Source organism: Homo sapiens, chromosome 12 (assembly GCF_000001405.40).
Source record: "Homo sapiens chromosome 12, GRCh38.p14 Primary Assembly".
In the NCBI taxonomy this organism is placed as follows: domain Eukaryota; kingdom Metazoa; phylum Chordata; class Mammalia; order Primates; family Hominidae; genus Homo; species Homo sapiens.
In genome coordinates, this window is record NC_000012.12 from 123,175,904 (window position 1) to 123,196,713 (window position 20,810).

The 20,810-nt window shown below is 42.6% G+C and overlaps 1 protein-coding gene across 25 annotated transcripts in view; it reads right to left on the reverse strand.

The window, feature by feature from the left end:
- Positions 1-20,810, reverse strand: part of MPHOSPH9 (M-phase phosphoprotein 9) — a 91,679-nt gene that overhangs the window by 23,580 nt on the left and 47,289 nt on the right. For 23 of the 25 annotated variants that reach the window (NR_103517.2, XM_017018673.2, XM_047428066.1 and 20 more), the window contains 4 exons: positions 18,483-18,698; positions 5,260-5,307; positions 4,023-4,087; positions 785-886 (listed from right to left, as the gene is read on the reverse strand). Coding sequence is in view for 24 of the 25 variants with exons in the window: in XM_017018673.2 (XP_016874162.1) it covers positions 785-886; positions 4,023-4,087; positions 5,260-5,307; positions 18,483-18,698 (431 nt within the window). In the remaining variant the exon portion in view is untranslated. The remainder of the gene's footprint in view (positions 1-784; positions 887-4,022; positions 4,088-5,259; positions 5,308-18,482; positions 18,699-20,810) is intronic. The other 2 variants (XM_047428065.1, XM_047428058.1) reach the window with 1 other exon arrangement.

Sequence of the window (20,810 nt, forward strand, 5' to 3'; positions counted from 1 at the left end):
ATTTTATTTTATAGAGATGGGCTCTCGCCATGTTGCCCAGACTGGTCTCGAACTCCTGGACTCTAGCGATCCTCCCACCTTGGCTTTCCAAAATTCTGGAATTACAGACGTGAACCACTGTGCCCGGCCCTAGAAAAAGCTCCTCATTTGACAATTACAACTTGGGTCACAAATTACAATTTAAAATCATTTTTCTAATAAATGTCATTATAAAGTTATTATTTACTTATTAATATTCTTTATTTACACCCAAATCATAATAAAATTCAGATCTAATATAAAAATAATGTATTCTGTAAGGGTATCACCAAGACAATGTTGAGATTATAGCCAAGCTAATTCTGAAAGAACTAAAAAAACTAGAAAGAAAACCCATACAACCTAATGAAGATCCATCTTCATAGTTCCTTCCATTAACATAGGAATAAAATGTCTGAAATTTTAGGGCTAAAAGACCTTTTGAGATGTTCTAGCCCCTTGTCCTTATTTTTACAGATAAGAAAAATGAATTCCAAAAAAGGTAAGTGACTTGCCTAAGGTCACACAGCTGGGCAAAGAACAAAATACATTCCAAGGATCCCAATTTGATCCTAAGATATTTCCTCATTTTAGCAAATGCCTCTGCATAAGAGGGTTTACAATGTTCAGTAATTAATCTAACACATTTAAGTTCTGTAATGACATTTAACCCGGACTTTCTTATGATTTAGACAGATGAGTTTCTCGTCTTAATAAAAGCATGCACCTATTTCTAGCTTTATAGAGAGTAAATGAAATAACTTACTTGGCACGCGAGGGTCTCACGTGAATTCTAGAATTATGACGAAGGCTTAACATATTTTCATGTTCTACTTGCTTGACCTGAGCTTCAAGTTTTGAAATCATTCTAATTCAAAAGCAATAAAGATAAATTAAGTACATTTCAACAAATGTAAAATATAGCTCAACCACAGTTTATTTAACAGACCCTCCTAAAAAATGGGTGGTAAAAGAGTTGCAAGTCCATGGCCGGGAATGGTGGCTCACCCCTGTAATCCCAGCACTTTGGGAGGCGGAGGCAGGTGGATCACAAGGTCAAGAGATGGAGAACATCCTGGTCAATATGGTGAAACCCTGTCTCTACTAAAAATACAAAAATTAGCTGGGCATGGCGGTGTACACCTGTAGTCCCAGCTACTCGGGGGGCTGAGGCAGGAGAATCACTTGAACCAGGGAGGTGGATATTGCAGTGAGCCGAGATCGCACCAGCCTGGCGACAGAGTGAGACTCCGTCACACACAAAAAAAGAGTTGCAAGTCCATAAACATTTTTCATAGTAAAACATCACCATTATTTAAAAAGCTAAATAAGCCAGGTGCAGTGGCTCACGCCTGTAATCCCAGCACTTTGGGAGGCCGAGGTGGGTGGACCATCTGATGTCAGGAGTTCGAGCCCAGCCTGGCCAGCATGGTGAAACCCCCATCTCTACTAAAAATACAAAAATCAGCCAGGTGTGGTGGCATGCGCCTGTAATCCCAGCTACTTGGGAGACTGAGGCAGGAGAATCGGCTTGAACCCGGGAGGCGGAGGTTGCAGTGAGCCGTTATCACACCACTTTACTCCAGCCTGGGCAACAGAGCAAGACTTTGTCTCAAAAAAAAAATAAAAGCTAAACAAAAATCAGTGAATATAAATAGAAAAACAGAAAAACAAATACATTAAAACTCTACAAAGGAACATTTCCCATACAACTGAATAAAAAGGGAACAAATGGACTTAATATCGCAAGTTATATAAATTTGACTACAGATCAAAACATAACATTTATAAATAAACATAAAATTGTCAAATAAACTGCATTCTAATGTGTTTAATCCTAATATGTATATAACCATGCATACAATAGGTAACACTTTCACAAACAAGGAAGCAGGCTTAACTTCCAAAAACAGAACTTTTACCAAAAAAATTTCAAAAAAAAAAAAAAACCTTTCTAATTTTTAAAAAGAGGCCAAGGCTAAAATATTGCAAACAACCTATAGGTATTTCATCTGATTTGTGCCATGTTCAAAATAAAAGCCTATTTTCAAGTTTACCAACAGGAAATAACTACTCTGGCCAACTGACTATTTTAAAGATATCCTGGCATTCATGCTGTTCTTTTTTCCCCCCTTTAAGAGATGAGGTCTCGCTCGGTCACCCAGGCTGGAGTGCACTGGCATGATCATTGCTTGCTGCAGCCTCAAACCCCTGTGCTTAAGAGATGCTCCTGCCTCAGTCTCCCAAGCAGCTGGGAGTACTGGTGCATACCGCCATGCCTGGCTTGTTCTTTTAAGCTCTGTGTATGACTTCATCTTATCTTTCAAACTCGAATTCTTACCTACTTTGATGCAAGGAAGATTTGAGAAATAATAGCCCTAACAAGACTGATGTTTTATAACAATCTGATAAGAAAGCTATCACTAGAACTGAATGAATCACAGAAGAGTGGCAGATGAGAAACCTAGACAGCATTTCTGTTCTTCTCTATGAGAACTCCTTAAGACTGCAGTAAAATGTCTAAATAAGGGACGTTACTTATATCCAAATACAAACATAAAATTTGCTCTTGAACTAGTTTAAATATTTCTCTTTTCTATCTTTCATTTTTTTGGTGGGGAGGGGAGAGTCTTGCTCTGTCACCCAGGCTGGAGTGCAGTGGCGTGATCTTGGCTCACTGCAACCTCCGTCTCCAGAGTTCAAGCGATTCTCCTGCCTCACCCTCCTGAGTAGCAGGGATTACAGGTGTGCACCACCATGCCCAGCTAATTTTTGTATTTTTAGTAGAGACAGGGTTTTGCCATGTTAGCCAGGCTGGTCTTGAACTCCTGACCTCAGGTAATCTTCCCACCTCAGCCTCCCAAAGTGCTGAGATTATAGGCGTGAGCCACTGCACCCAGCCCAGTTTGGATATTTCTAATCATTTGCAATGGATACTACCATTTACGATTCTGTCCCTACCTAATTAAACAAATCAGATCATTAATACAGTCTCCAACCGGTCTTTCTGAAAGTAGATGACCATAATTTTGGTGTTAATGCTGTTTTCTTTTTGAAGCACCAAAATAATTCTGTGAACTAGGCTGCTTCTTAAAGTTCTTGCCAGTGGTTAAATATCATTTGGATTTTAACCTATGCTGAGAAAATACATAATGTTTGGGAAAATATCCACCTCTGAGGCACAACCATCAGTACATTTTAATTACTTAAAACATGTTGTTTGAAGCCAGGTGCAGTAGCGCATGCCTGTAATCCCAGCACTTTTTGTGGATGAGACGAGAGGATCACTTGAGGTCGAGAGATCTGAGACCAGTCAGGGCAACACAGCAAGATCTTACTTCTAAAAAAAGTTTTTAAAAATCAGCCAGGCTTGCCGGGCTCCGTGGCTTATGCCTGAATCCCAGCACCTTGGCAAGCCGAGGCAGGCGGATCACTTGAGGTCAGGAGTTCAAGACCAGTCTGGCCAACATGGCGAAACCCTGTCTCTATCAAAAATACAAAAAATTAGCTGGGTGTGGTGGTACACTCCTGTAGTCCCAGCTACTCGGGAGGCTGAGGCAGGAGAATTGCTTGAACCCAAGAGGAGGAGGTTGCAGTGAGCCAAGATTGTGCCACTGCACTCCAGCCTGCGTGACAGAGTAAGACTCTGTATCAACAACAACAACAACAAAAAATCAGCCAGGCATGATGATGAGTGCCTGTAGTCCCAACTATTCAGGAAGCCAAGGCAGGAAGACTGCTTGAGCCCAGGAATTCACAGCCAATCTAGGCAACATAGTGAGACCCTGTCTCTTTAAAAAAAAAAAAAAAAAAAGAGAGAGAGAGAGAAGAAATCTTGTTTGGCTAAAATGAAACCTATTTCCATGTCAAGGGAAAATTAAGACAAAACTAGTTCTCAAACTGCTTAAAAATCCTCAAGAAAAACTTCCTTCTCATCATGTTCAATACAGACACATAAAAGAACAATTGAGGTATGTGTACATTAGTAAGTTAATACATTTTACCTTTTCAAATCAGAAATCTGAGTATATGCATCAAGCAATTTGTTCTCAGTTGTATTTAATGCATCCTATGGAAATAAAGGAGAAATTCAGATAACTGAAGACAAATATTCACATGAATTATTTTAAAATGCATAAAAGAAAATGAATCTAAGGCTAAACCAACTAGCTACAAACCATACTCAGCAAGTATGGCATCAACCATACAGCCAGGACCAACAGTTCAAGGAAAACAAATGAGAGCAAAGCACCGGCCTACACAAGTCCCTCTGTGTAAGTCCCCTGGGTAACAGATACAGCCCTTTATACTTTGCTTAATTAGAAACAAATCAGTGTTAAAATAACTTGACTAAAACCTCAGAAGGATGGTAAAACAAATATTTTCAATGAGATTTAGATATCATGGGATCTGCTCCCGAACCCTCAGAATGCTTTGGCAGCCAAGCTATGCAGGCCTTTTTGCTGAGCTTCAATAACCACAACCCTCCATTCTATGCAACAGAAATACTTGGGCCCCACTTACACCATCGTCGAAGGGTTTTACTGAATGCAAATATGTAGTCTCCAAACAGAGCTTTCAAAAAGAATTCAAACATAATTGATAAACTCAACCCTACCAAAAGCTAATGCAGTGAAAATCAAAGCTTGATATTTAATCAGTATTAAATGGCTGGGTGCAGTGGCTCATGCCCATAATCCCAGCACTCAGGGAGGCTGACACAGGTGGACCACTTGAGGTCAGGAACTGGAGACCAGCCTGGCCAACATGGTGAAATCCTGTCTCTACTAAAAATATAAAAATTAGCTGGGCATGGTGGCGCACACCTGTAATCCCAGCTACTCAGGAGGCTAAGGCAGAAGAATCGCTTGAACCCAGGAGGCAGAGGTTGTGGTGAGCCGAGATCACACCACTGCACTCCAACCTGGGTGTCACAAAACAAACAGTATTAAATAATAATTTGCATCTGTATGGTACCTTATACTCTTTTGAACAATTTCATTTCAAATGCAATAGCCATTCAATAAATATTTGTCAGATTAATGAATCTAACAAACTTGTGAGTTAAATGGGGCAGGTATTTGAAAATAAGGATACTGAAACAGGATAAGCAAGGTTCCAGTTCAACAGCTACGGAGGTTCAGGAAGGGGTGCAAGGAGGAGAAGAGTCAGATCCCTTGATTCCCAATCCAATGTTTCTGCCTCTGCATGAAATCTAGAACATGAACCATTACCCCTTACCTTTACTCTCCTGTGTTCTTTTCCAAGGGACTCATACTCTCCTAAAAGCTACAAGGAAAAACAAAAAAAAATTATACCACAAAATTAAACGTTATTCTATCAACTGAGGTACAGTCTACAAAATAACTGCCTATAGCCTTCAAAAATGCCAATGTCATGAAAGAGAAAGGTCAATAGAGAACTGGTGATTCAATGTAAAGGGAATGGGACAATTCTCAATTTCTGGAATGGTTTCTGTACATTTGATATTATTTCAAAATAAAGCTGGATGCGGTGGCTCACACCCATAATCTCAACACTTTGGGAGGCTGAGGACAGAGGATCACTTGAGGCTAGGAGCTGGAGACCAACCTAGGGAACAGAGCGAGACCTCGTCTCTTCAAAAACAAAAACAAAAACAAAAAAAAAACAAAAGCTGGGCTCGGTGGCTCACGCCTGTAATCCTAGCACTTTGGGAGGCTGAGGTGGAAGTATTGCTTGAGCCTGAAAGCTCAAGAGTTCAAGGCTACAGTGTGCTATGATCGTGCCACTGTACTCTAACCTGGGGGACAAAGAGAGACCCCGTCTTAAAAAAAAATAGCTGAACATGGGGATATATGCTTACAGACTCAGGAGGCTCACTTGAGCCTGGGAGGTTGAGACTGCAGTGAGCTTGTAGTGAGGCTTGCAGTGAGATTGCACCACTGCACTCTAGCCTGGGCCACAGAGCGAGACCCTGTCTCAAAATAAAATATCAATACCATGTAAGTATTTTAAAAGACTAAAATTTGCATTGCTCTTTTTGGAACTATTACTTTTTTTTTTTTTCTTTAGATGGAGTCGCTCTGTCGCCAGGCTGGAGTACAGTGGCTCACTGCAACCTCTGCCTCCCGGGTTCAAGCAATTCTCCTGCCTCAGCCTCCCGAGTAGCTGGGACTACAGGCGCACGCCACCATGCCCGGCTAATTTTTGTATTTTTAGTAAAGACGGGGTTTCACCATGTTGGCCAGGATGGTCTTGATCTCTTGACCTCATGATCCGCCCGCCTCAGCCTCCCAAAGTGCTAGGATTACAGGCGTGAGCCATCATGCCCGGTGTTTTTTTTGTGTTTTTTTTTTTGTTTTTTTTTTTTGATGGAGTCTTGCTCCATCACCTAGGTTGAAGTGCAGTGGCGTGTTCTCAGCTCACTGCAAACTTTGCCTCCTGGGTTCAAGCAATTCTCCCACCTCAGCTTCCCAAGTAGCTGGGATTACAGGCGTATGCCACCATGCTCAGCTAATTTTTGTATTAGATGGCGTCTCATCATGTTGGCCAGGCTTGTCTCAAACTCCTGACCTCAAGTGATCCACATGCCTTGGCCTGCCAAAGTGCTGGGATTACAGGCTTGAGCCACCACGCCTGGCCTATTGTATATTACTTTTTGCTAAATTAGTTCTACCTAGTAAAAGCACAATGCCAAAGTCTTTATTTAAAAATATATATATGTGAGGCTGGGCATGGTGGCTCATGCCTGTAATCCCAGCACTGTGGGAGGCCAAGGTGGGTGGATCACTTGAGGTCAGGAGTTCGAGACCAGCCTGGCCAACATAGCGAAACCTTGTCTCTACTAAAAATACAAAAAAATTAGCTGGGTGTGGTGGCGCGTGCCTGTAATCCTGCCTACTTGGGTGGCTGAGGTGGGAGAACTGCTTGAACCCAGGAGGCGTAGGTTGTAGTGAGCTGAGAGGGCACCACCGCACTCCAGCCTGGGTGACAGAGTGACATCTTGTCTCAAAAATAAATAAATAAGAGGCCGGGCGTGGTAGCTGACGCCTGTAATCCCAGCACTTTGGGAGGCTGAGGCAGGTGGATCACTTGAGGTCAGGAGTTCAAGACCAGCCTGGCCAATATGGTAAAACTCCGTCTCTACCAAAAATATTTTAAAAAATAAAAATAAATAAATATAAGAACACATATGTGAGATTTCTGGTTAAAGATGACAAATTAATAACAGAATTTTCTTCTCTTCACCCTCAGAGTCCACTAAACTAACAATGAAGAAATTAAAGAGAAAACAAACGAGGTGACAGTAACAGGTGAGAGATTTCAATAAAGTCTTAGAAAATTGAAAAGAAACAAAGTGCTGGCCGGGCGTGGTAGCTCACACCTGTAATCTCAGCACTTTGGGAGGCCGAGGCAGGTGGATCATCTGAGGTCAGGAGTTCAAGACCAGCCTGGCTAACATAGCGAAACCCCGTCTCTACTAAAAATACAAAAATTAGTCAGGTGTGGTGGCACGTGCCTGTAGTCCCAGCTACTCAGGAGGCTGAGGCAGGAAAATTGCTTGAACTTGGAAGGCAGAGGTTGCAGTGAACCGAGATGGTGCCACTGCACCCCAGCCAAGGTGACAGAGCAAGACTCTGTCTCAAAAAAAAAAAAAAAAAAAAAAAGAAAAAGGAAAAAAGTGCCTTAGCAGGGTGGAAGTGGATACAACCCCAAGTGCCTGAATCCAGAAATGCTGATGAAAAGCAGGCTGATGTCAGCATAACTGTGAGAGATGCCCACCTTGAAACCCAGGTTTAGAGATGGACAGGGTTGAGGCACAGGGCTGACCACAGAAAACTGGTTGAAATTCCTTAAGTAATCAGAGCCCAGGACACATCCCATACAGCAGTAGACTGTTCAGCCAGGTGGCAGGACAGCAGGAGAAAATGAATGGGGAGAAAAATGGAACTTTGGAAATCCAAGGATAATAGTGGAGTGGGAGGCAGAGGATAAAGAGAAAATGACAAAGTAAAAGACTTCAAAAACACCCAGGGCAGGTCACACCTATAATCATAGCACTTTGAGAGGCCGAGGAAGATTACTTGAGCCCAGGAGTTGGAGACCAGCCTGCGCAATATAGCAAGACCCCATCTCTACAAAAAATTTAAAAATTAGCCAGGTCTGGTGGCATGTGCCTGTAGTCCCAGCTACTGGGGAGGCTGAGGCAGGAAGATTCCTCGAGCCCAGGGGTTTGAAGATGCAGTGAGCTATGATCACACCACTGCACTCCAGTCTCGGTGACAAGGTGAGACCTGTCTCTAAAATAAATATATTAACAAATAATTTTCTTTTGAAAAAAGGTGACCTCCCCCTCCTCCACTGCCAGAATCTGACTGATAGGTCCCAGGCAAGAGACTGTAAGACCTGTCTTTACGAAAACTGAACAACCCCAGAAAAAAAACCTTCTAAACATTCACATCTGGAGGTCCCCTAACAAAATGGCTGGTGCATGACTCTACAATCGCCTGAAAATGAAGGCTACCAGGAACTAAGTCCCATCCATACACTTAAGAGTCTTTCAATAGCTTTTTATACTGCTTCGCTTTAATTTAATTTTTTTTTTTTTTCTTGAGATGGAGTCTTGCTCTGTCGCCCAGGCTGGAGTGCAGTAGCGTGATCTCTACTCACTGCAAGCTCCGCCTCCCGGGTTCACGCCATTCTCCTGCCTCAGTCCCCTGAGTAGCTGGGACTACAGGCATCCGCTACCACGCCCAGCTAATTTTTTTGTATTTTTAGTAGAGACGGGGTTTCACCATGTTAGCAAGGACGGTCTCCATCTCCTGACCTTGTGATCTACCCGCCTCGGCCTCCCAAAGTGCTGGGATTACAGGCATGAGCCACCGTGCCCGGCCTATTTAATTTAATTTTTATCTTTTGAGACAGAGTCTCACTCTGTCACCCAGGCTGGTGTGCAGTGGTGTGATCTCAACTCACTGCAATCTCCACTTCTTGGGTTCAAGCAATTCTCATGCTTCTGCCTCCCGAGTAGCTGGGATTATAGATGTGCACCATCACACCCAGCTAATTTTTGTAGTTTTAGTAGAGACAGGGTTTCACCATGTTGGCCAGGCTGGTCTCAAATTCCTGGCCTCAAGTGATCCACCCGTCTCAGCCTCCCAAAGCACTGAGATTATAGGCGTGAGCCACCACACCCAGCCTAGTGCCTCTTAAATGTGAGCCTGCAAAAGAACCAACACTTGGAAAAAGACATTAAATATGAAAGATACTTCAAATGAAAACAAAAGCTTAACTCAGAATAATGAAAACTACAGAAACAGTCCAATGGAAGCCATAATATTCTCAAAGAAATAACAACATTAGATTCAAAACAGGAATAGAAAGCTATTAAAAATGATCAATCAGAAAAAGAGTTGTTAGAAACTAAAAAAAAAAAAAATATTGTTACAAAATTTCGGCATACCAAGGATAAAAAGATGATCCTAAAAAACTTCCAGAAAGAGAAAAAAAGAACCACATTAGAAAGGAATGAGAAACATGATTACTAAATGCAATGTGGGCCAGGCACATTGGCTCATGCCTGTAATCCCAGCACTTTGGGAGGCCAGTGTGGGAGTATCGCTTGAGCTCAGGAGTTGGAGACCAGCAAGAGCAACATAGTGAGACCGCATCTCTACAAAAAAATAAAATTAGCCAGGTGTGATAGCCTGTAGTGTCTGTAGTCTCAGCAGTCGGAGAGGCTGAGGTAAGAGGATCACTTGAGCCCTGGAGGTTGAGGCTGCAGTGAGCTATGAATATGCCTACTGTACTCCAGCCTGGGTGACAGAGTGAGATCCTGTCTCAAAGAAATGATAACAATAAATGCAATGTGTGATCCTTGATTGGATTCTGGATTAAAAAGCAAAAAACAATACATCTATAAAGGATATTATTTAGACAACTGGCAACATTTGAATATAGACAGAATGTATTTACATATTAGTATTATATCAATGTTAAATTTCCTGAGGATGAAAAGTACATTGAGATTACACAGGAGAGGCCGGGCATGGTGGCTCAAGCCTGTAATCCTTAGCACTTTGGGAGGCCGAGGCGGGTGGATCACGAGGTCAGGAGTTCGAGACCAGCCTGACCAACATGGTGAAACCCCGTTTCTACTAAAAATACAAAAATTAGCTGGGCATGGGGTGGTGTGCGCCTGTAATCTCAGCTACTTGGGAGGCTGAGGCGGGAGCATTGCTTGAACCCGGGAGGCGGAGGTTGTGGTGAGCTGAGATCGTGCCATTGCACTCCAGCCTGGGCAATAAGAGCAAAACTCCGTCTCAAAAAAAAAAAAAAAAAAAAAAAAGAGATTACACAGGAGAATATCTCTGTTCTTCAGAGATACCTATTGAGGTATTTAAGGGTAAATTATCATAGTGTCTAATTTACTCTCAAATATAGTTCAGCAAAAGAAAAAAGTTTATATCTCTATGAAGACAAAGCAATGCTGTAAGATACTCACAACTGGTAAATCTAGGTAAAGAATATACAAGGGTTTTCATTGTATCATTCTTACAATTTTTCTGCAGGCTTGAAACTTTGAAAGCCATGGGAGGGGAGAGAAAGGAAAAGAATTGATCATGTCATAGGCAATAAAACAAAGCCTTCAAATCTGAAGAAAACATACACCCAGAATCACAGTTAGGATCTAGATCTTCATCTTCAGCTAGGACCTAGATCTTCACCCACCACAATTATAGATAATATGTAAAATTTAAGAAATAACAATATCGAGCCAGCCACAGGGGCTCATTCCTGTAATCCCAGCCTTTCATGAGGCTGAGGCAAGTGGATCACTTGAGGTCAGGATTTCGAGGTCAGCCTGGCCAATATGGTGAAATCTCATCTCTACTAAAAATGCAAAAATTAGCTAGGCATGGTGGCACGCGCCTGTAACCCCAGCTACTCAGGAGGCTGAGGCAAGAGAATTGTTTGAACCCAGGAAGTGGAGGTTGCAGTGAGCCAAGATCATGCCACTGCACTCCAGCCTGGGCGACAGAACAAGATTCCATCTCAAAAAGGAAAGAAAGAGGCCAGGCGCAGTGGCTCTCGCCTGTAATCCCAGCACCTTGGGAGGCTGAGGCGGGCAGATCACCTGAGGTCAGGAGTCCGAGACCAGCCATGGCTAACATGGTGAAACCCTGTTTCTACCAAAAATACAAAAAACTAGCCGGGTGTTGTGGTGCTCGCCTATAATCCCAGCTACTTGGTAGGCTGAGGTAGGAGAATCACTTGAACCCAGGAGGCAGAGGCCGCAGTAGCCAAGATTGCGCCATTGCACTCCAGCTTGGGCAATAAAAGCGAAACTCTGTCTCAAAAAAAAAGAACGAACGAACAATATCAGTACATTATTTAGAAATACATAAATACTAGAATATGATATACCTCGAGAAAAAAATGAACAAAGGATGTAAAAGGCCTTAATTTTTAAAAAAGAAAAATACTTGAGATTTAAACCACGTTCATGTATGGGAAGAATCAATATTTCAAGTCTCAGCTGTCTCCAAATAAATCTGTAAATTCAGTGCAATTCCAATCGAAAGCAGAGTGGCATGCTGACAGTAATATTTGTATGAAACAAAACAAAGCCAAGAAATAGGCAAAATAATTTTTACAAGAGCAAAAAAACGAGATAAGGAAATGGCACCAAAAATCAACACTTGTTATAAAATACTAATAATTTACATGATGTGGTTCCAATTCAGAGACAGACCAATGGAACAGCTCAGAGCCTCAAAGGAGATTTACACGAGAAGGAAATAAAATGTACAACAGAAGTCAGTAAGGGAAGGAAAATCTATTTAAAAATGATTCTGGGACAACTGGTTAATCATTGGAGGCAGGGAGGATCAAGTTCAATTCCTACTCATACCATATATTACGTAAGAGGTAATTCTGGGCTGGGCGCCGTGGCTCGCACCTGTAATCCCAACACTTTGGTAGACTGAGGCGGGTGAATCACCTGAGTTCAGGAGTTCAAGACCAGCCTGGCCAACATGGTGAAACTGTCTCTAGTAAAAATACAAAAAGAATTAGTGAGGCATGGTGGTGGGTGCCTGTAATCCCAGCTATTCAGGAGGTTGAGGCAAGAGATTGCTTGAAGCCGGGAGGCAGAGGTTGCAGTGAACCAAGATTGCGCCATTGCACTCCAGCCTGTACAACAAGAGCAAGACTCCATCTCAAAAACAAACAAACAAAAAACACCCAAAACTTGTATCCCATAAAAATACCAAAAGAAGATGGATGCAATACGTATAACCATTTCCTCTTAATCACACTTGAAAAATTAAAAGGCTTGACAATACCAAGCACTGGAAATAATCTAGAAAAATAAGAATTATCATACACTACTGGCAGGAAAATAAACTGGTACAACCATTTCAGAGAGCAATTTAGCAATATCTAAAAAAGATAACAAAGCTCATATTCTATGTCCCAACCACTGCATTCAGAGAAAGAGACTATTATAACAGGCTATATTTCCCAGTAACAGCCACAGCAATATTTCCAGACCCATAAGCTCTTGCAGAACCTTGCTGTGTTCCATTAAGAGATGGTATCCATTTTCCCTCCCCTTGAACCTATGCAGGACTTTGGAATTGTTTAAAAAATAGAATAGAGGCCAGGCACGGTGGCTCACGCCTGTAATCCCAGCACTTTGGGAGGCTGAGGTGGGCGGATCACCTGAGGTCAGGAGATCGAGACCACCCTGGCAAAAACTGTGAAAACCCATCTCTACTAAAATACAAAAAATTAGCCAGGCATGGTGGTGCACACCTGTACTCCCAGCTACATGGTAGGCTAAGGCAGGGGAATCGCTTGAACCTGGGAGGCAGAGGTTGCAGTGAGCCGAGATAGCGCCACTGCACTCCTGCCTGGGCAACAAAAGCAAAACTCCTTCTCAAAAAAATAAAATAAAGAGTAAACATAAAAATAAATAATTAGCCAGGTGTGGTGGCGTATGCCTATAGTCCTAGCTACTCAGAGGGCTGAGGCAGGAAGATCACTTGAGCCCAGAACTTCAAGGCTCCAGTAAGCTATAATCATGCCACTACACTCCAGCTTGAATGACAGAGCAAGACTCTGTCTCAAAAAAATAGAATGTGGTACAAGTGATGCTGTACAGTTTCCAAGGCAAGGTCATAAAAGGCAATGTAAATGTAGCTGTTGGGATGCTCTTTCAGGACTCTTGTCCTTAGTAGTAAGCCATCATGTTGCAAAGAAACCCAACCTAACCACATAGAGAGGAACTGTGGCCTTAGCTGACAGCCACCATTCATGATGGAACATGCCCTTCAGAAGATTCCAGCTCCCAGTCCTTAAGTTTTGAGCTGAGGTCCTAGACACTGCAGAGCAGACAGGCTGTCCCTGCTGGGCCCAGTGCAAGCTCCTGAACAACAGAGTCCACGAACAGAATATGTCAAGATTTGAGGTTATGAGTTTTGGAGCTATGGCAGCTAGAACAATACCCTAGAGGCGCTTGCACACATTGGCATAAGGAGCCACATAGAAGAAATGTTCATAGTAGCATTGCTCCTAACAGCAATGACAAACTGGCAAAAGGAAAGTGGATAAATATACTATGGAAGAGCCACATGATGGACGACACAGGAATAAACAGAAATGAAGTTGTGCTACTACTACATGTATCCAGTTAGGTGAATCTCACAAGTGAAAAAAGTTGCATAACATTAAAGACAGTATTAAGGCCGGGCACGGTGGCTCACCCCTGTAATCCCAGCACTTTGGGAGGCCGAGGCGGGCGGATCACGAGGTCAGGAGATCGAGACCATCCTGGCTAACACGGTGAAACCCCGTCTCTACTAAAAATACCAAAAAAATCAGCCAGGTGTGGTGGCGGGCACCTGTAGTCCCAGCTACTAGGGAGGCTGAGGCAGGAGAATGGCACAAACCCGGGAGGCGGAGCTTGCAGTGAGCCGAGATGGTGCCACTGCACTCCAGCCTGGGCAATGGAGCGAGACTCCATCTCAAAAAAAAAAACAAAAACAAAAATAAGTATTGATAGTATTTATAAAAGTTTCAAGATACGCCAAAGAAGTAACACTAAGGATACATACATACACATGTGACCATACAAAGACAAGGTAATGATATTCACACAATTTAGATCAGTTACTCCCAGGAAGACAGAAGTGATCAGAAAAGGGTGCACAGGGGATGTCAACTGCATTTTGTAGTATTTTATTTCTCTTTTTTTTTTTTTTGAGATGGAGTCTCGCTCTGTCGCCCAGGCTGGAGTGCAGTGGCGCTACCTCAGCTCACTGAAAGCTCCGCCTCCTGGGTTTACACCATTCTCCTGCCTCAGCCTCCCGAGTAGCTGGGACTACAGGCGCCCACCACCACGCCCAACTAATTTTTTGTATTTTTAGTAGAGACGGGGTTTCAACGTGTTAGCCAGGATGGTCTTGATCTCCTGACTCTGATCCACCTGCCTTGGCCTCCCAAAGTACTGGGATTACAGGTGCAAGCCACCACACCCGGCCGGAGTATTTTATTTCTTAAAATAGGTGGTGGATTCATATGTACATTATATTATTCTCTATATCTTTTTATGTACCTAAGATATTTCAAATGTAAATGTTTAAATTAAAATGAATCAATAAAAGCTGAATGTGTCAACATGGCAAATCTCAGAAACAATGTTGAAAGGGAAAAACCAGGTTGCAGCAGGATATATGCAATGCAATACAATTCATACATTGCTTAAGAACACATAAAACATTACTAAATATTGTTTACAAACACAGGCATATGTAGTAAAAGCAAAAAGAACTGCATGAGGATAACAGAGCACATTTAACAAAGTGAGTACCTCTAGGGTGGGGAAGAGAGGAATAGAAGACAGTGTTTCACTCTATCTAGAGAAGGCTAGAACGGTATTTGTTATATTACTCTCTATACTTTTCTGTATGCTTGAAATGTTGTATATGATAAATGCAAAGTCAGTGTATCACTGTCTACATTAATACAATTTCAGCTAAAAACAACACATTCTAGCTATCCTTTGCTGCTTGATTGCTGCTCAAACATAACTGTGGTGGGTTTGTGAATAATTAGAAACAATAACATCCCAGGCCAGGCGCGGTGGCTCATGCCTGTCATCTCAGCACTTTGGGAGGCTGAGGCAGGTGGATCACTTGAGGTCGGGAGTTCGAGACCAGCCTGACCAACATGGAGAAACCCCATCTCTATCAAAAATACAAAATTAGCCGGGCATGGTGGCACATGCCTGAAATCCCAGCTACTCAAGAGGCTGAGGCAGGAGAATCACTTGAACCTGAGAGGCGGAGGTTGTGGTGAGCTGAGATTGCACCATTGCACTCCAGCCTGGGCAACAAGAATGAAACTTCGTCTCCAAAAATAAAGAAAAAGAAAAAGAAACAATGACATCCCAGTAGCAATGAACATACTCAGTACCAGTTCAAGTGATTCTCCTGCCTCAGCACCCTGAGTAGCTTGGACTACAGGCGTGCATCACCACGCCTAGCTAATGTTTTTTATTTTTAATAGAGGCAAGGGTTTTACCGTGTTGGCCAGGCTGGTCTCGAACTGCTGACCTCAGGTGATCTGCCCGCCTCGGCTGCCCAAAGTGCTGGGATCACAGGCATGAGCCATCACACTCAGCCTAGCACCAGATCTTAATGTCTGAATACCATTTTCCATGAAAAGGAACCAGAACTCAACAGAAAAAATGAGACTGATTCTAGGACTGGAGCTTGGAAAAGTACAAGATGAGCCTGGAACATAGTGCTGTGCCAGGAAATATGGACATGCTCAAAGAATGACAAAAGCAAGTCAAAAGGACACGGGACCAGTCTGACATGTCTCCCACTGGCCAAACTTGGGACACCATGAGTATCAAAATAATCATGGTAAAGAACCGCAATCCACTGAGTAAAATAAGAATCCATCAATCTTCTTTACTGATATAACAAAGAAAGGACATGCACTTTAGTAGTAGTATCCTAGCTACTCAGGAGGCTAAGGCAGAAGGATTGCTTACTCCAGGCTGGGCAACAGGGCAAGGACCTGTCTCTAAAGGCAAATAATAAATAAGTCAAGGAAAGAGGGAAGCTCCTTTCAGTCAAATGCAGAAGGAATACAGAATTAGAAAAACACACCACAGTACATGCTTCTTTCAGGCAAGACTCCTCAATGGAAGCTAAAACTAGGAGGTAAAAGCTTAATGAGAAAAAGGCTGGGTGCAGTGGCACATGCCTGTAATCCCTGTAATCCCTGCACTTTGAGAGGCTGAGGCAGGAGGAACGCTTGAGCCCAGGAGTTTGAGACCAGCCTGGGCAACATGGCGAAACCCTGTCTCTACCAATGATACAAAAATTAGCCAAGTGTGGTGGCGTGCACCTGTAATCCCAGCTACTCAGGAGGCTGAGGCAGAAGCATCACTTGAACCCGGGAGGCAGAGGTTGCAGTGAGTCAAGATCATGCCACTGCACTCCAGCGTGGGCAACCAAGCAAGACTCCATCTCAAAAAAAAAAAAAAAAGTTAAATAATTGTCAGGGCATAGTGGCATGTGCCTATGGTCCTAGCAACTTTGGAAGCCAAGGTGGAAGAATCACCTGAGCCCGCGGAGGTTGAGGCTTCAGTAAGCTGTGATCGCACCACTGCACTCCAGCCTGGGCAACAGAGTGAGACACCGTCTCAAAAAAAAAAAAAAAAAAAAAAAAAAAAACAGAGAGAAAAGGAAATGTAATATGTAATTACAGTATACCACCATAGCTTAACTGTGAACAATATTTATACAGCTGTAATAAATGATGTATAATTTCCATTTTAAGACACCATTGATTATATATCACACCATTATTTTACAAATTACTAAAAGAAAAAAATACTGCTTCAGGCCTGTAATCCCGCACTCAGGTGGGCGGATCAAGAGGTCAAGAAATCGAGACCAGCCTGGCCAGCATGGTGAAATCACATCTCTACTAAAAATACAAAAATTAGCTGGTGGCACGCGCCTGTACTCCCAGCTACTCAGGAGGCTGAGGCAGGAGAATTGCTTGAACCTGGGAGGCAGAGTTTGTAGTGAGCCAAAATCACGCCACTGCACTCCAGCCTGGGCGACAGAGAGGGATTGTCTTTCAAAAAAAAAAAAAAAAAAAAAAAAAATATATATATATACACACACACACACACACACACACACACACACACACACACACGAACCACATGGGAAGGAGCAGGAGAAGTGTCTGTGTTGCAGCAAATGGTGTAAGAAAGCCACACTGTGACCCTGCATGGGAGAAAGTCAGTATGTCTGAAATAGATGGAAAAAAAAATGAGAGTGCAATATAAGAATATTATTTGTAAACATGGAGGAAAATGCTAGAAGAAATAGCTAAAAGAGCTGAAAGTAACAGCCTCTAGGGTAGGATACTAAAAGGTAGGTAGGGAAGACTGCTGTTTTTCATGAGATGCAAATCTAAAGCAATCAGAAAATTTCAACAGCCTAAATACTTTCAGATTACTCATGTATTGTAATATCCTGAAAAACGATGTTAAGAAAAATTTAGAAGCCAGGTGCAGTGGCACACACGTGTAGACCCAGCTACTCAGAAGGCTGAAAGGAGAATGCTTGAGCCCAAGAGCTTGAGGCCAGCCTGGGCAACATGGCGAGACCCTGTTTCTAAGAACAAAAAGAAAGAAAAATTTAGAAAAAAATAAGCAACCTGAAACCTAATCTGGTTTCAATGTTATACAAATCCAAATTTTAAGTGAAATTATATCAAAGTGAAAAAATTTAATCAAACTTGCTCTAAATCTGTTCATAGCATTTTATCCTGCCAGACACACAAATGTTAAGATAGCTTGAAAGTTGACCTGATGCAGACACAGTTTTTTTTTTTTTTTTAAGTTGACCTGCTAGAAACAGAAAAGATATGGGAGTGATGCCATCGTTCTAAGTATCTGACTTCGTGCTGCAAAGCAAGACCCAATTGACTCCATCAGGAAGGTACATATTCACAGTTGCTGCAAAGTTATGTAAAACTAAAATAAAGGCCGGACATAGTGGCTGATACCTGTAATCCCAGGACTTTGGGAGGCTGAGGCGGGCGGATCACCTGAGGTCAGGAGTTCGAGACCAGCCAGGCCAACATGGGGAAACCCTGTCTTTACTAACAATACAAAAATTAGCCGGGCGCAGTGGTGGGCTCCTGTAATTCCAGCTACTTGGGAGGCTGAGGCGAGAAGATCTCTTGAGCCCGGGAGGTGGAGGCTGCAGTGAGTTGAGCTCCTGCCACTGCACTCCAGCCTGGGTGTCAGAGTGAGACTCTGTCTCAAAATAAATCAATAAATAATAAAATAAGCCTAGAAAGTCATAATCACTTGTAAGAGTATAATACCTAAATTACTTTTAGCCAATCACGTCATTAAGTTACTATTATTCGCTACTTACATCTTGAAACATTTTGTTCTCTTGTTTTAGTTGAGCTTCTTTATCATCTGAGAGTTTGTAAGCATTCTCAAATGCTTCTTCTAAATCTTGCAGTCTAGATTTTAGTCGAATGATGGTATTGTCTTTTTCTTTACTGCTTGTTCTCATTTCTTCAATTCGTTCCTGCAAAATTTTGGAAGCACTGCTGGCTGCACTGAAGCGTTCTCTCAAATCATTCTATAAAACAAAGACAAACATAATTTTTTTTTTTTTTTGAGATGGAGTCTCGCTCTGTTGCCCAAGCTGGAGTACAATGGCGCAATCTTGGCCTACTGCAACCTCTGCCTCCCAGGTTCAAGCAATTCTCCTGCCTCAGCCTCCCGAGAGCTGCGATTACAGGCGCCCACCATCACCCCTGGCTAATTTTTTGTATTTTTAGTAGAGACAGGGTTTCACTATGTTGGCCAGGCTGGTCTCAAACTCCTGACCTCAAGTAATCCACAGGCCTCGGCCTCCCAAAGTGCTGGGATTACAGGCATGAGCTACCACGCCCAGCCCAAAATTTATTTTAAATGAAAAAAAAAGATGCCTTAATAATAGCTAATAAATTGTGGGCATTAAAAAATGAACAAAACATAGAAATGGAAATGAACAAATCTATTTTGTTGTATTCTGGGATGGAGAGTCCAGAAAGAATAGTTCTACTGGAATACCAGCCCCTGACATTATCATAAGGTATACAGGAAACTATCATCTGTGGCACTATGACTCTAGGACTCACCTAATAGCTCCTACAGTTCACTTTAATAAGGAAAAAATAACCACTGCTATTAGGGAAATTATTTGAAAGTATAGCTGGACTTTGTTGCCCAACATCAACATTTAGGGAGGAGAAAAACATTTCATACCCTCTCACTATGAAAATACAGGAAATTCAGTTGGCCAGGCACAGTAGCTCACGCCTGTAATCCCAGCACTTTGGGAGGCCGAGGCAGGTGAATCACGAGGTCAGGAGTTCAAGAGCAGCCTGGCCAACATGGTGAAACCCCGTCTCTACTAAAAATACAAAAAATTAGCTGGGCTTAATGGCAGGCGCCTGTAATCCCAGCTACTCAGGAGGCTGAGGCAGGAGAATCACTTGAACCCAGGAGGCGGAGGTGGCAACGAGCCGAGATCATGCCACTGCACTCCAGCCCTGGTGACAGAGTGAGACTCTGTCTCAAAAAAAAAAAAGAAAATACAGGAAATTAAAAACCCATCTGATATGTTAATATTCACTCAACAATCATTTCTGGAATACCCACTAGGTGCTAGGCACTAGGGTGCTAGAAATGTAAGATTAACAAAAAAGATAATAGTCCCGAATGTCATGAAGCTTAGGAGGAGAGGAACTAAAAAAGCAAACAGGCCAGGCACTGTGGCTCACAGCGGAAATCCCAGCACTTTGGGAGGACTGCTAGAGCCCAGGAGTTTAAGACCAGCCTGGGCGACATAGCGTGTCTCAACAAAAAATTTTAAAAATCAGCTGGGTGTGGTGGTGTGTGCCTATAGTCTCAACTACTCAGGAGGCTGAGATGGGAGGAGCACTTCAGCCCAAGAGGTTGAGACTGCAGTAAGCCATGACGGCTCCACAGCACTCTAGCCTGGGCGATGGAGTGAGACCCTGTCTCAAAAAAAAAAAAGGCAAAGATGAAAACAACATATAAAACAAAATACGCTGGGTGCCAGTAACCCCAGCACTTTGGGAGGCCGAAGCGGGCAGATCACCTGAGGTCAGGAGTTCGAGACCAGCCTGGCCAACATAGTGAAATCCCATCTCTACTAAAAATACAAAAATTAGCCGGGCTTGGTGGTGGGCACCTGTAATCCCAGCTATTCAGGAGGCTGAGGCAGGAGAATCCCTTGAACCAGGGAGATGGAGGTTGCAGTGAGCCAAGATCGCACCATTGCACTCCAGCCTGGGCAACAAGGGCGAGACTCCATCTCAACAAAAAAACAAAATAGACAGTTTCCACCAAAATTTTGTTCATAAGGCCATATGTATCTCATACATATACACACTACTCTATGATAGCTATCATGCATTTTATCGTCTAATAGATATTAAAAATAAAACTTGTAAACACAGACTTTGAGAAACTTTTGACCCTTAAAAAGATTGCCTTATACCAAAAGATTGGGAATGACATAACAAAGGTCTTTGTTCAGAAAGAAAAAAAGTTACCTGTAAAAAAATAAAATTTGGTAATGCGTGGGGAAAAAAGTAATTTTAGCATAAAAAGTTTATGCACTTTTAGTTATATACCCAAGGAAACTAAAAACTTACGTGGCACATAAAATCTTGTAGAC